Source organism: Homo sapiens, chromosome 6 (assembly GCF_000001405.40).
Source record: "Homo sapiens chromosome 6, GRCh38.p14 Primary Assembly".
In the NCBI taxonomy this organism is placed as follows: Eukaryota; Metazoa; Chordata; class Mammalia; order Primates; family Hominidae; genus Homo; species Homo sapiens.
The window spans coordinates 154,575,480-154,591,425 of NC_000006.12; the positions used below are offsets into that span (position 1 = coordinate 154,575,480).

The 15,946-nt window shown below is 38.0% G+C and overlaps 1 pseudogene; it reads left to right on the top strand.

Annotated features, from left to right (window-relative positions):
* RPS4XP8 (ribosomal protein S4X pseudogene 8) lies at positions 777 to 1,662 on the top strand (annotated as a pseudogene).

Sequence of the window (15,946 nt, forward strand, 5' to 3'; positions counted from 1 at the left end):
ATCTACTAAACGTGTTATTTCCAGACACTATTGTAGGTACTAAGGACCCAGCAGTAAAGTCTCTGCCTTCAATGAACTGATATTCTAGAAGACAGATTCTTAAAATTAATAATAATATAATGTTGGTAGGTGATTAGTGGTAGAAAAAATATTTAAATAAGAAAGGCAAAGGATGAGGAGGCGATGAATGTGGAGTAGGGACACAGAGTGTTATTTTAGAAGAGTAGTCAGTGAGGGCTGCTTGGATGAGGGGCCATTTGAGCACAATCTTGAATGAAGTGAGCCAGAGGAGCATGTAGGCGGACAGTGGCGGAGTCAGCAGTACTGCTTTCCAGACCCAGGGAAAATTCCGTGCAAAGATCTGGAGTCAGGAACAACCCTGCTGTGTTAAAGGATCAGGGCCAGACACAGTTAAGCACAGAGATCCAGTGGCAAGTGAAAGAGACATGCTCCCTGCCCTGTAGAGCGTAGAGTCTGCTGGGGCGACTGCCATTAACTTCATAAACAATCACACAGATCAAAGCAAATTTATAGAGTGTGGTAAAGGCATAATCGAATTTGTGTTTCTTAATGATTACATGTCTACTATGAGCAGAGGGACTGAAGAGGGTCGATGCTTGGTGTCTGTCTATCATTCAACACTGTTCATTGCTTTCTCCTTTACTTCTCACTATCAATAACTGGACATAGCCCTGGATGCTCGGTATGCTTCATGACAATCTGCTTCTTGGCATGTTTTCAAGAAACATATTGATTTGTAAAAACTGGAACTACTGAATTTCTATGCGCACCAGAAGACAGAGGTCCTCTTTCCTTGCCTAACGCAGCCATGGCTCGTGGTCCCAAGAAGCATCTGAAGCTGGTAGCAGCTCCAAAGCACTGGATGCTGGATAAATTGACTGGTGTGTTTGCTCCTCATCCATTCACTGGTCCCCACAAGTTGAGAGAGTCTCTCCCCATCATCATTTTCCTAAGGATCAGACTTAAATATGCCCTGACAGGAGATGAAGTAAAGAAGATTTGCATGCAGCAGTTCATTAAGATCGATGGCAAGGTTTGAACTGATACAACCTACCCTGCTGGATTCATGGATGTCATCAGCATTGACAAGAGAGAATTTCCGTCTGATCTATGACACCAAGGATCGCTTTGCTGTACATTGTATTACACCTGAGGAGGCCAAGTACAAGTTGTGCAAACTGAGAAAAATCTTTGTGGGCACAAAAGGAATCCCTCACCTGGTGACTCATGATGCTTGCACCGTCCGCTACCCTGACCCCTCATCGAGGTGAATGATACCATTCAGATTGATTTGGAGACTGGCAAGAGTATTGATTTCATCGAGTTCGACACTGGTGACTAGAGGTACTAACCTGGGAAGAATTGGTGTGATCATCAACTGAGAGAAGCACCCTGGATCTTTTGACGTAGTTTATGTTAAAGATGCCAATGGCAACAGCTTTGCCACTCGACTTTTCAACATTTTTGTTATTGGCAAGAGCAATAAACCATGGATTTCTCTTTCCCAAGGACAGGATATCCGCCTCACCATCGCTGAAGAGAGAGACAAAGACTGGCGGCCAAACCAAGCAGTGGGTGAAGTGGTCCCTGGGTGACATGTTAGATCTTTGTATGTAATTAAAAACAATGTGGCATGATTAAAAAAAAAAAAAAAGGCTGAGCGCTGTGGCTCACACCTGTAATCCCAGCACTTCGGGAGGCCAAGGCGAGCGAATCACCTGAGGTTGGGATTTCGAGTCCGGCCTGACCAACATGGAGAGACCCCATTTCTTCTAAAAATACAAAATTAGCTGGGCGTGGTTGCATATACCTGTAATCCCAGCTACTTGGGAGTCTGAGGCAGGAGAATCGCTTGAACCCAGGGGGCAGAGGTTGCAGTGAGCCGAGATCGCGCCATTGCACTCCAGCCTGGACAACAAGAGTGAAACTCCGTCCAAAAAAAAAAAAAAAAAAAAAAAACTGGAACTATTTATATCCTATCCTCTATGCCTGCACAGAAAAACTGAAGGGAACTTAACCTGAAATTCATATATTAATAGTACTGATTTCCACTGCCATGCCAAAGAGTAAGTAAAGAGTCAAGAGCCACTATGGTATAGAGGAAAGAGCATAGACTTGGACTTAAATCCACCTAGGCTCCAATTCCAGCTCCGATAATGATTAACTACATAGCTTTAAACAAATGATTTTACCCCTCTAAGCCTCATCTTTAAAAGGGGGATAATAATGCCTGCTCTGGAGCATTACAAAGATGAAATCAGATCATGTATATAAAGCATCTGATTCACTACAGAGGCCGAAAATGGATTATTATATTAATCACATCATAGAGAATCCTAACTAATCTAAAACACTGTGATATATGTGGGTTTTGTCTGAACCACAAAAAAATATTAAAATGGCCCATGCAAAATTGAAACAAGTAAACAAATAAACTGAAAGGAGCTTGTAAATAATCGGACAAACCTGTTTAGTCCAATTATCCCAAGACACATATTTGGTATCCATGAGAAACTGCTGGGGGTGGAATGAAAGGAGTATGGCGGAAGGTCAAAGTCAACTGCCTGTGGATGATTTCCTGGAAAAGTGTTTCTTTCCAGATCTCTTGTTTAGAGAGAGGTCAGACTGACCATGAAACACAGATGCTGAAGCCTCAAACATAGGATGTTCTACGAGGTCCAACCCAAAAAGGGAAATGCATTTTGATGATCCAGCAAGAAATTCTTATTAGTGCAGGAACTCTTGCCCACCATCTGCCAAGGGAGGCTATAATGGCATTGTTGACTCCCACACAGCAAGCAGAGCCTTAATCATGTTTTACTAGGCCTCACAGATCACAGGAGCAGGCATGCCCTCTTAGCCCCAGGCCTGGCACCACCCCTGCAAGGTAAGTAGTTTACAGGTGTGTCTGGGTCTACTTCAGGTCGGTCAGTTTAAGACAGCTCCACAGGACCTTAACCCAGAGAAGGAGGTCAGCCCCAGGCAGAAGCTCCCACACCAAGGAAGAAAAAGCTGGGCACCAGCTTTTTCACTATCTCCTGGGCACCAAACTAAATGATGTTTAGACTAGACTGGAAGGAATGACAACAAATCCAAAAGAAAAGTAAAAATTGGAAATAGTATTAAGAGCAAAAACTTGTTGTTGTCTAATCAGGATAAGCAGCAAAACGTACATTGCATTCAGATGTGCAGGCCAGTGATCTATAGCCTTTGCAGGCTTTGGGTCCTTTCAACAGGCCACTTCTCCTCCTCGTCATCACTTACCACAGCAGCAGTGTAGGTTATTATGGTGCTGTGTGGCTTGCAAAGCATTCTGGAACACACGGTTTTGTTACAATCCTCAACGCAATCTGATGAACAAGGTTATTATTGTCCTCATTTTAAGGGTGAGGCCATTGAGACTCAGAAGAAAAAAATTAATTGATTTACACCAGGATCCACATGAAATAGATTTGGGAGCAGAGATTTGGACCCTGGGCTCCTGACACCAAGTTTTATTTTTGTGGCTACACATTTCATATTGTTGCGGATCTTTAATTGACAAACGTGGTCCCACATTGGCATTGCAGCTGCCTGGTGGGAGTGGGACAAAGTGCATTCTACCTGTGGCTCTGGGCTAAAGCCACGTCACCACATAGGAGAGTAGGTAGCTCAGAGAATCAGTCCAAATAGGCTAAGTGGTCATCAGTCCAGAACTCAAGTTGCCAAATCTAAGGAAATGAGGTCTGAAAGTGGGATCTGAGCCAAACCAATAAAGTCTCAAAAGCCAAGGTGATCCTGGGTAACTGTGTTCTCTTACTAGGCAAAAGTAAGAGAGAGGCTTTTTTCCTCAGTTTCAGTAAAGTACAAAGTGTGGTTTGAACAGGATTAGTTGGAAATGTCTTTGAACCTATTAATAGAGTTGAAATAAATCATCTGCAACTTTATTTATGCATTTCCTCAAGGTCCTTAAGTATGGAACCCTGACCGAAAGATTTTGATAGAGGCTTTTGCTTTTGTGTTATACTCTCTAAAATTGTCATAACTTGTTTTACTAGTTAATGGAAAGGTGTGATGTCACAACTCTCACAATGTGAGGGACGTGTGGGCATTTCCTTTGATTGCCAGTTTTTCTCCACAAACCATAGTAAACGTAGGCTCCATGAGAACAGGGATTCTTGTCTGAGTCACTCGTGAATCCTCAATACTTGGCACATAATAGAACTCAATAAATATTTTTTATCTGTTGTATGAATAGTGGTGACATTTTACATTGTCTTTTGGCAGAAAGAGGTACTTCTTTTAAATCTTAACTAAAAATAGATTCACTTATTATAAAATAAGTTAATTATCTTGGCAAAACATCATGTATCTCCCCCCTTTCCCTGATGATGAAAGTTGTAATGAAGACATAACTTATTTATTGCTTTTCCAAGAGCATGTGGGCCTCAGGATTACTCCATGGTTATGCATCCAACAGACAAAATATGTTACGTGTGAAAGGTACTAATTATGTAGGTGGTGGTTTTCAATAAGGGTCAAGGATCCCATATCACAGTCTTACCCAAGGAGTTATGGTTCCACATCTTACGTGAATTTTCTGTAAGGAAAAACCTGTTTATATTATCTGAGCCCAGAACTTAACTCCATTTTACATATGAACACAAAGCATTTTTGCTCTGTGTTAATATATAAGGAATTTCCAGGAATGCAAATATCATGTAAACTGAGGAAAGATTGAGACTTGTTTTGTTTGAAAATTTACCAAAAGTAATTGACTATTGAAGAAAATCACCATCAACAAGTGCTTATGGTATTGGAGGCACCAATAAAAGAGCAGCTGTCTCAGTTTTTGTAACTATTGCATTTACGATGATAACATATTAACTTTCAAATTTACTTATTTAGACTTTCACTTCCATTTATGAAAAATTAACAGCTACAGGAATTATCCTTCTTCCATGCACAAATTGAAAATTTGGCAAAATATATGAAACAACAGTTTTCAGACATTAAACAACTGGTAATGCTGTGGGACTGTGAACCCTGAAAGAAGAGAATCAATTGAGCTGAATGATGTGATTGCCCCAGCTTCCTGCCTGGAGGCAGTTTTCAAGCCACAGCATGCAGCCAACAGTCTCACTGAGTTAAGGAAACAGAGATCAAAGTTAAGGAAGGCAAGGTGGCTAGATTTGTGGGACAAAGTACTGGAAAGGAGAAAGCTGCACAGAGAGAAAGAGAGAGAAAGAGAGCACACTCTCAAGATTTGCAAAGGGTTCTCTCAAATCTTTGACTAAATACTAATAATAAATATGATATCTCATAGGGAAGAAAAAAACACTAGATAGGTTTGATAGCAATTTACACACTGTAGAAGAGAAGATCAGTATTCTTGATGACATAGCAATAATAAAGCACAAAGAGAAAAAGACTAGAAAAAATTAACAGAGCATCAGTGTTGTATGGAGGAATATCAGAAGGTAAGTGGTCTAAACCATGTATAACTGGAGTAGCAAATAGAGTGGGTGAGAAGGACAGAAAAAAACCTTTAAAGAAATCATTGCTGAAATTGTCAAAATTTGATGAAAGCTCTGAACTCTCAGATTTGGGATGCTCAAGGAACTTCAAGAAAAATTAAAAAAAAAAAAATTCAAACCAAGAAAGACCATAAAATCAGTCATAAAGAAAAAAATCTTAAAATTTCCAGGAGAGGGATGATGGGACACATTACATATAGAGGAACAAAGATAAAAATGACAGCAGACTTCTCATCAGAAATTTTGCAAGCCAGAAGGCAATGAAGCAACATCTTTAAACTACTAAAAAAAAAAAAAAAGCTTTGATCTAGAATTCTATACCCAGATAAAATAGCTTAAGAAAGTAAAAATAAAAAAGTCTTATTTAGATATACAAAAGCTGAAAGAATTCATCACCAGAAGAATGCACTACAAGCTACGTGAAAAAAAGTCTTTCAGACAGACGGAAAATAATACTAAAAGGAAATTTGCTTCTACACAAGTGAGTGAAGAGTGTGGAAATGATGAGTGTGTAGGAACATATAAAATACTTTTTCTTCCAATTTTAATCTCTTTAAAAGATACAGATTATTTAAAGCAACAATAATAGCAAGTATTGTGGAGGCATGTATGACAAAACAGCATAATGTATGACAATAACATGTAAGAAACCGTAGCACAAGGACAGAAGGAAGAAAATGAAGACATACTATTGTAAGGTGCTTATACTATATGTATATAATTTGAAGGTAAACTATGAGTTAGATGTGTTTTATAAACCTTAGAGCAACTACTAAAAAATAAAACAAAGACACTCCAATTAAAGGATGGAGATTGTCAGATAAAAAAGCAAGGCCTAACTACTGTGCTGTCTGTGAGGAAAACATTTTAAATATAAAGTAACAGAAAGACTAAAAGTAAAATGATGGAAAAAGACATACAATGAATACACAAAACAAAGTTGAAGGAGCTACATTAATATCATATAAAGTAAATTTCAGAACAAGAAATATTCCTAGAAGTAAAAATCAGGCATTTCTTTTTTTGTTTGTTTGTTTTCTTGAGACAGAGTCTCACTCTGTCAGCCAGGCTGGAGTGCAGTGGCATGATCTCGGCTCACTGCAAGCTCTGCTTCCCAGGTTCAAGCCATTCTCCTGCCTCAGCCTCCCGAGCAGCTGGGATTACAGGCACATGCCACCACGCCCAGCTAATTTTTGTATTTTTTTAGTAGAGATGGGGTTTCTCCTTGTTGGTCAGGCTGGTCTCGAACTCCCGACCTCAGGTGATCCACCCGCCTCAGCCTCCCAAAGTGCTGGGATTACAGGTGTGAGCCACCACGCCCAGCCAAAATCAGGCATTTCTTAATGGTAAAGATGTCAATTCATCAAGAAGACATAAAAATCTTAGATGTCTATGCACCTACTAAAGGACATAATAATCTTAAGTGTTTATGTACCAGGGACACAAAAACTTGACAGAACCGAAAGAAGAAGTAAAATACTTTGCAATTTCAACACTCCTCTATCAATAATTGATACAAGCAGAAAGTCTGTAAGAAAATAGATTTGAACAACACTATAAGCAAAGTTGACCACCATTTATGGAACACTCCACCCAACTATAGAACATTCATGAAGATAAATTATATTCTGGGTCATAACAGAAATATACTTATTTAACCCTTATTTTTAAATTTCAAATATAAGGACAGAGTGTGGAAAACATTTAGTAGAATATTGTTCTTACTTATTGTAAATCTGAAATTATTCATTGTAACAAGGAGCAAGCTTCTAACTATTAATACTTAATAATTAATACTTAATTTTCTTATATAGCAACTGAGAATCTCTACACTGAAATACCTTTTATTTTTCTTTCATATTATATATGACATCATTTTTAATTGTATAACATTTTGTGTTTAAGTTACCCTATCAATAAATTTTTTTTCATGACAGAGAAAAGATTATTACAAGCTAGTTATCAAAAGGGGCTTTGGATCTGATGGAGTATGAAATCACTTGTCTGAAACACAAAGGAATGTTTTGATGTTCCTGTTGTCTTTACCAATACTCTGATGGAAAACCTACGAGTGAAGTAGGATTTTTCACATATCTACGCACTACAAACTCCTCCACTTGTCAAAATGATACACTAAGGTAGGCCTCTGTAAATTTGAACTTTGTATGCAGAGATCTCGCAGTTGCAAAGGAATTATTAGTATTACAAATACCATTGAGTACAGTAGTGTCACGACCCTCCTAGATATAGAAAGTATATTCTTATTAATACAGCTGACAGTTGTAGTTAATTTTTCTAGGAGCCTCATCATATGGTTCATATCACATTTATGGTTCATACGTTTGCTATATGTAAAACAAGTGAATAGACAAGATTCTTTTAACCCAGATGAAAACTATGCATTTATCTATTCCTGTTAGGTTTTATCGTGGTGATTTGTGAATTGTAGTTCTTCCACTGAGATAATTTTGAATATCGATTCTGATGAACTTTATATAGTGGCCTCCTATCCTCTGGTTTGGGGTCGGGGATAAATTTGATTAACGTGCCTTTAGCAGGATGTGAAATATCTTTGATATTTCCAAAAAAAAGTCTTTGATACATTTATGCCTTTTAGTCAATCATTATTGTTTTGTGAAAAAAAAAACCTCTAATATATTTAGCACTGTAGATTCCAAAACTGGGAGTTTCCAGGAGCAGCACACTAAAAGTCCCTTAGTGACCTTTGTCTCTCAGCTCCACACCCAGCCCTCTGTACCACTGAAACTGGAATTCTGCAAACTGCATTCTCCAAACTCTCTTGTCATTGTGGTCAGTGAGGATATTTTTTATAACTATCTTCTTAAATCTATTGAGACTTAATTTGTGGCCTAACATATGGTCTATCCTGGAAAATGTCATATGTGCACTTGAGAAGAATGCGTATACTATTGTTGGCTACAATGCTCTGTATGTCTGTTAGATCTGGTTGATTTATTGTGTCGTTTAAACGCTTGGTTTCCATATTTATCTTCTGTCTTGTTGGCCTGTCCATTTTTGAGAGTGGGGTAATAAAGTCTCCAACTAGTATCATAGAACTATTTCTCTCTTTGTTTCTGTGAAGTTTTGCTTCATGTATGATGGTTGCTTATTAGGTGTGTAAATATTAATATTTATAATTATTATTTCTTGCTGGAGTGAAACTTTTATTAATATATAATGTCCTTGTTTCTTGCAAACATTTTTGATTTAAAGTTTATTTTGTCTGATATTAGTACAGCTACTCCTGCTCCTTTTTGGACACTATTTGCATGGAATATCTCTTTCCTCCTTCCACTTTCAATCTATTTGTGTCTTTAAATGTAAAGTAAGTCTCTTATAGACAGTACACAGTTGAATTCTGTTTTTTAATACATTCTGCTGATCTCTGACTTTTGATTGGAGAATTGAACTCGTTTACATTGAAAGTAATGACTGATAAGGAGTGATATTTCTGTCATTTTGCTATTTGTTTTCTATATGTCTTATACCTTTTTGTGGTCCCTCACTTCCTGCATTGCTGTCTTCTATTGTGTTTAGTTGATTTTTTATAGTGAATTATTTAAATTCCCTTCTCATTATATGTATTCTATAGCTATTTTCTTTGTGGTTAACATGGGGATTATATTTAACATCCTGAAGTTGTAACACTCTAACTTGAATTTATACCAGCTTAAGTTCAACAACATACAAAAACTTTCCTTCTTTAACAGCTCCATTCCCACTCCTGTTGGGTTTTGGTGTCACAAAATTACATCTTTATATATTGTGTGTCCAAAACATAAACTAATAATTCTTCAGAATGCATTAACCTCTTAAATCATATGAAAAACAAAATGTGAATTTACAAATCAGTTTACAATACTAATAGCTTTTAGACTAGTAATTGTTTCTTTTAATGTTTTAGTCTCTTAAATCATGTAGAAAACAGAAAGTGCAGTTACAAATCATTATTACAATAATGCTAGCTTTTATAATTGCCAATATATTTACCTGTATTTATAGCTTTATTTCTTCATGCAGCTTCAAGTGATTATCTGGTGTCTTTCCATTTCAACCTCCAGGACTCCCTTGGTCTTGTAGGGCAAGTCTAGAGATAACAAATTTCCTCCGCATTTATCTGGGAATGTCTTAATTTCTTCCTCACTTTTGAAAGGCAGCTTTGCCAGATATAGGATTCTTGACTGACAATTTGTTTGGGTTTTTTTCTAGCACCTTGAATATATTGGCCCACTGCCATCTGCCTCTAAAGTTCCCAGTGATTATCTGTGGATAATCTTATCACGGATCCCTTATATATGATGAGTTCCTTCTCTCATACTGCTTTCTCTCTTTGTGTTTGGCTTTCGAAAGTTTGATTATAATGTCTCTCACTGTGGGTCTCTGAGTTTATCTTACTTAGAGTTCTTTGAGCTTCTCGAAAGTTTACATTTATGTCTTTCATCAAATTTGGGATGTTTTTAGCCATTATTTCTACAGACATTCTCTCTGCCCCCTTTCTGTCTCTCTTTTCTTCTGAGACTTCCACAATGTGTATATTGGTCTGTTTGATGGTCCCACAGATCCTTTAAGCTCTATGCAATTTTCTTCACTCTTTTTTTTTTTTCTGTTCCTCAGACTTGATTTCTATTATCCTATCTTCAAGTTTGCTGGTTCTTTCTTCTGTCTGCTCAAATCTACATTTGAATTCCTCTACTGAGTTTTTCATTTTTGGTCATCGTATTTTCAGCTCCAGAATTTCTTTTTTGTTTCTTTTTATGTTTTCTATTTGTTGGTATTGCCATTTTGTACATACATCTTATTCTTGACAGTCTCCACATCTTTTAGTTTGTTGAATATCTTTAAGATGGTTACTTTAAAGTCTTTGTCAAGTAGCTATGCCATCAGGTCTTTTTCAGAGACAGTTTCTGTTTATTCTTTTTTCCTCTGAATAAGCCATATTTTCCTGCTTCTTTGTATGCTTTGCAATTTTTTGTTGAAAACCAGGCATTTGAATCTAATAATCTGCTAACTCTGGAACTCAGGTTCTCCCCCTTTCCCAGGATTTTCTGGGTTTTGTGTTTATGTTTTATTGTTTGTGTTTCTGATGTTGTAGACTGTCTCTGTGCCAAAGATCAGTGTCAGTTGTAAACTTAGGTCTTTGCAGGTCTTTTCTGAACGCGGGTCTTTTCCTGGGTATGTGCAGTCACTTTCTAATGCTCCCCATATATGCAGTGGTTTTCAAATGTTATAGTCTTCAATGTCTGGCACCCAAAAGGGAGAAAAAAGAAAAATGAAGGGAGACAGAAAAGGGCACCAGCCTTTTAAATCTCCTGGAAATCACTTCTACTAGCGGGGAAGTGCTTGCAAAAATGGCGGGGAGGTGCAACCACAATGGCCATTAGCCTCTTTGTCTGTATCTCTGTGATCAGAAGAAGCAATCAGTGATCCAAATACAGATCCCTGATGTTTGGAGGACAGGATCCTTTTTACCCACCCCAGCTCCTACAAGCTGCCTACAAGTCACTCCAGGAACTCCGGGAGCTCCAGGAGCTCCTGCACAGGTGCCTGTCGTGTAGCTGGGGTGGAGGATGAGTGCTACTGCTACCTGCCAAGAGCTGAAATTGACCAACATTAAATGCAATTTACTGCCTAAGCCTTCTCCTGGAATTTGCAACCTTCTATAGATTCCTGAGTTCCAAAACAGTTACATCAGACAGATTCTGCCATTACAATCCTTGTCTGGATGGGGAGAGAAATGCCTGGTGCCTTCCACTCTGCCATCTTCCTAGAATCCCTAGACATTCTCTTTTGCTACTTACAAAATTAAAATATTAAGAAACAATTAAAATTATAATGGCAATAGGATAAAAGAAGTAGTATTTTAACTATAGTATTTTCTAGGATGAGGAAGGTTTTCCATTTGACTATAAATCCCTTAAGGGCAGGAACTCCATTCATCCAATAGGTATTTTTTTTAGCATTATTTCATGCTAGACTCATTCAGGTGTTTTATATCACTTCAATGCAAAGTTGAATAATTTAATTCTAGGACAAAGCAGGAGTCTTAACTTTTATCTAGACTAGTGGTTTACAAACCTCTTTTTGGCCTTCTAGCTCTTTCATCAAATGAAAGTTCATATAGAAGTCCAATAAATCCAGTAGGCATGAGTAAAGCTACTCCATTTGAGCAGGTACCTCAGAAAGTCCAGAGCCCAAGCAGCTAGTGCCCACTGCCCCCACCCGACCCAGTGGTCCTCAGGGAGTATTCACAGACACACCAAGGCCTTATGGAGCATTATTTGAGAACACCTGGTCTACTTAACCCATCATTTTATATCATAGATAGGAAACTGAGAAATAGATAGAGAGCTGCCCAAGGCCACACAGCTGATGAGTAGTGAGTCCACCTACAACAGAGACTGTGATGATCAAGGTTCATGGGGTCACAGATTTTTGCGGGTCCCAAGTCTGAAGGGATTCAAATTCAAACTTGGCCAGAAGGAACCCAAGTTATATAAAAGGGGATACAGGCTGGGCACGGTGGCTCACGCCTGTAATCCCAGCACTTTGGGAGGCCGAGCTGGGCAGATCACGAGGTCAGGAGATCGAGACCATCCTAGCTAACATGGTGAAACCCCATCTCTACTAAAAATACAAAAAGTTAGCCGGGCATGGTGGTGGGCGTCTGTAGTCCCAGCTAATCGGGAGGCTGAGGCAGGAGTATGGTGTGAACCCAGGAGGTGGAGCTTGCAGTGAGCCGAGATCGTGCCACTGCACTCCAGCCTGGGCCACAGAGTGAGACTCTGTCTCAAAAAAAAGCGGGGTGGGGGGATACAAATTTTTTTAATTGAAAACACAAGATAATGAGGTTATATGTCATGTCTGGATACTTGTATTCATGTGTATATTTTGTCATATTCATACATGTGAGAAGAGCTAATAATTTTTTGTGCAGGGATGATTTTAGGAACTAACTCAGAAAAACCAATACAGCTTTCATCCTGATGCATGACTTACGTACGATTAAAAATACCATTTCTGGTTGGTTTTAGGAAAAACTTACCAGATTTGTAGATTATAAAATTGGTTGAACGTGTTTACTGTTTGGAAGTGGATGGAGTGTTGTCAAACTGCAAGAGCATTTTTAAATTTTTTATTATATAATATTATTAAATATTTACTTTAAAATTATTTCCATGTGCTGAAACTTGTTCCATTGTAGTAAAGCTTTAGTAAAATTACATAAGCACACGAACTAGAAATGCGATTATGTGTAATTAACGTTACCAATGTAATTGAAGAACATGGCCTTACTATATAATTTATAAATCTGTACACAATTAATTTTGTGTGATCTTTTTGATCTCTTTTTACAATGCATTACTTCTCTAAGTTCTGTAGAATCCTGCATTACTAAGAGCATTTTTAGATTAGCACACATCTATGACACCATTAACAAAATATCCATCCCCTTGTCATTCTGGCTTTTGATTTGACAGATTAGGCAATAGCTCTAATTTAGACAGCCAAATTGGTTCTCTACTTAAAAGACAGAAATTATGCTCTTCTTCATAATTATCTACACTCTCATTGTAATCTTCATCTACCACCACTGTTACCATGCAAAGCATTGATTAAATATTTCTTTGTACATTTCACAAAGAAAGATTTTACAAGTGCATATTTACTGCCTTCCAGAAAATAATAATTTTAAAGGAATATATGTTAATTATCTGTTTGAAACTGTCAATGTGAGCTAAATCTTTAGTACCTCTAATTTATACCCAGGTACTTGAAATTTTAAATAGCAGTTCCAAAAAATCAAAAGCTTTTTGACCAAATGTGTTATTATGGGGAAGGGAATTCTTACAGAAACAAATAATTGCTAGAACTTTTATTTCATTATCTTAGGAACCTCCTCTTCAATGATTGTTGATCTCAATATGGTTATTGTCTCATGAGGCCCTCATGAATTGGCTGGGGAGAGTCTCTGGCATTTGTTTGGAGCTTTTAAGGAGTTAGCACTTCCAGCCTGTCTCTTTTCTCCATTTATCCTTCTATTAAGAGACTCTACTTAGCAAGTGCTCTCTCTTCAGTGGCTGTAGGGTTTTATGCAGCTAATTTTTATCTGTTGAGTACAGTCATTAGACCCTTGATTACCAAGGGCAGAGATTTACTCAGGCCACCTTAATAAAAATGGGGATGTATTATAAATATAGGTGGGTACCAGAGCCTAAAAGCTATGAGAATACTAAGTAGTACTTGAGACAACTCTCCTCTCCACTTCTCTTACAGCCTATGTGGTCTCTCTTTCAAAGCGCCACTGCTTTGCTCTCTATGCCTGCCCCATCTTTCTGTGAATCTACTCTGTATTCCCCAGGAATTTGGGGACTTACACCCCAAGAAACAGTTTTGGGGCCGGGTGCGGTGGCTCATGCCTGTAATCCCAGCACTTTGGGAAGCCGAGGCGGGCGGATCAAGAGGTCAGGAGTTCAAGACCAGCCTGGCCAAGATGGTGAAACCCCCGTCTCTACTAAAAATACAAAAAATAGCTGGGCATAGTGGCAGGCACCTGTAATCACAGCTACTCGGGAGGCTGAGGCAGGAGAATTGCTTGAACTCAGGTGGCAGAGGTTGCAATGAGCCGAGGTCATGCCACTGCACTCCAGCCTGGACGATAGAGTGAGACTCTATCTCAAAAAAAAAAAAAAAAAAAGAAGAAGAAGAAGAAGAAGGAGAAACCGTTTTGAAGGAAATTTATCAGGTTGGCTTAGCTCATTACTAACCTGCTATAGGGCAAAACCTTCACATCTGACCTTGGGTTTGATGCTTAATGTTGGCCCCATCAGAAGCCATGCCTGCACAGCTAAGTCAGATACTGCCTCACTAAGCAGGGGGCTATGGCCAGTGTGTTTTCTACTGTTTAAAAAAAAATGACAGGAGGCACTGTAATTAACATGTCCAATATATGTATAATCAGAAGTCAGAGGTGCCTCAGCCTTGGATAGCTACGAAAGGATTTTATCCAATGATACCTCCTTATTGTACATTGAATTGGTAATTCCCAAGTTTTGGACTTCTACAGAAGAAAACTTTGACAAAACTCAACCCTATTATATTTTGAATGATATAATCACAACCATCTTCCTTTGTTTGGGTATTCATTTGTGTTTTGAATAATTAAGCAGGAAATCTAGCCTGAATATTCTAGCCATCTCAAATTCCATTGGTTTATCTGTACAGCTAAAAATAATTACACTCATGTGCGCTTAATGAATAGATCAGACTGCTTCACATTCTTGCCTGCATTCAGAAATTCAAAAGGTAGGTTACCCTGCTTTTTGCTAAATTTTTTAGTGATATTAATTTGTGGAACAGATTCTATAAACTTTAAGTCCTAATGTCCAGCTTTTGGAATTATGATTTTTTAAAGTTTACCATTTGAACATATAATAATCATCAATATTTCAGAAGATTGAAAAATAAAATATATTTGAACTTTGCTAACCACTTTCTCCCTCAGTATTTACAGACCTCCACTAATTGAGATGACGCACTTCTTCAAAAATAAAGATGCTGTTCAAATACTTTCCGTGTTTGCTTAATTAAAAAGGACATTGGAAAAAATGACCTTGTATGCCCACTAATAGCAGTTTGGAAGCGACACTTCCTATTCATTATGTTATCACCATTTTCCTTTAAAATAATCATTCAAATACATGCATTTCTCATTTCCAAGAAAACTAAAGCTGACATGTAATAAACTGAGAGTTAAATACAGATCCATTATTGTGGGGCCAACAAAACCTGTGTTACTCAGATCTGATAACACAGTTGCATGTAAATTCCATGCATCTGCTTATATCTAATATGTGCACATATTTACTCTGAGGAAATGGGAAAGCAAAGCTGGGCTCAAGAGTAGTAATGTAAACAGCATCGCACCTACGCTCAGCAGGAATCGTTTGCACACCTGTCTTTCTTGGAAATGTGTCAACCAGTTGTTTTCTCAGGTTCATGTGCAATTTTATCGAGCCCTGGAAACACCTACTCCACATTCACTGTGCCAACCATTAAAGTCCAGTTTGTTTCTGAGTGAGGAGGTGGGAAAGGGCTGGTTTGGAAACCAAGTCTGTGACTGTTTCAAATGCACCAGTGGTCTCCCAAAGGTTGACTTTTATCACCTTTGAGACAGTACTCTCTGAAGGCCCCTCCCTCATTCTTACAGATTGGCATTTTGATTTTAAAAAATGAAAATGAAAAAAAAGGAAATAGAGAAATGGGACCACATATAGAAAAACTGGGATAAAGCTTCATTTATTCAACACCCACTGTATGTCAGGCCTGTGTTAGTCTTTAGAGATACAGCAGTAAACAACTTTCTACTTTGACTTCTAAGCAATAAATTT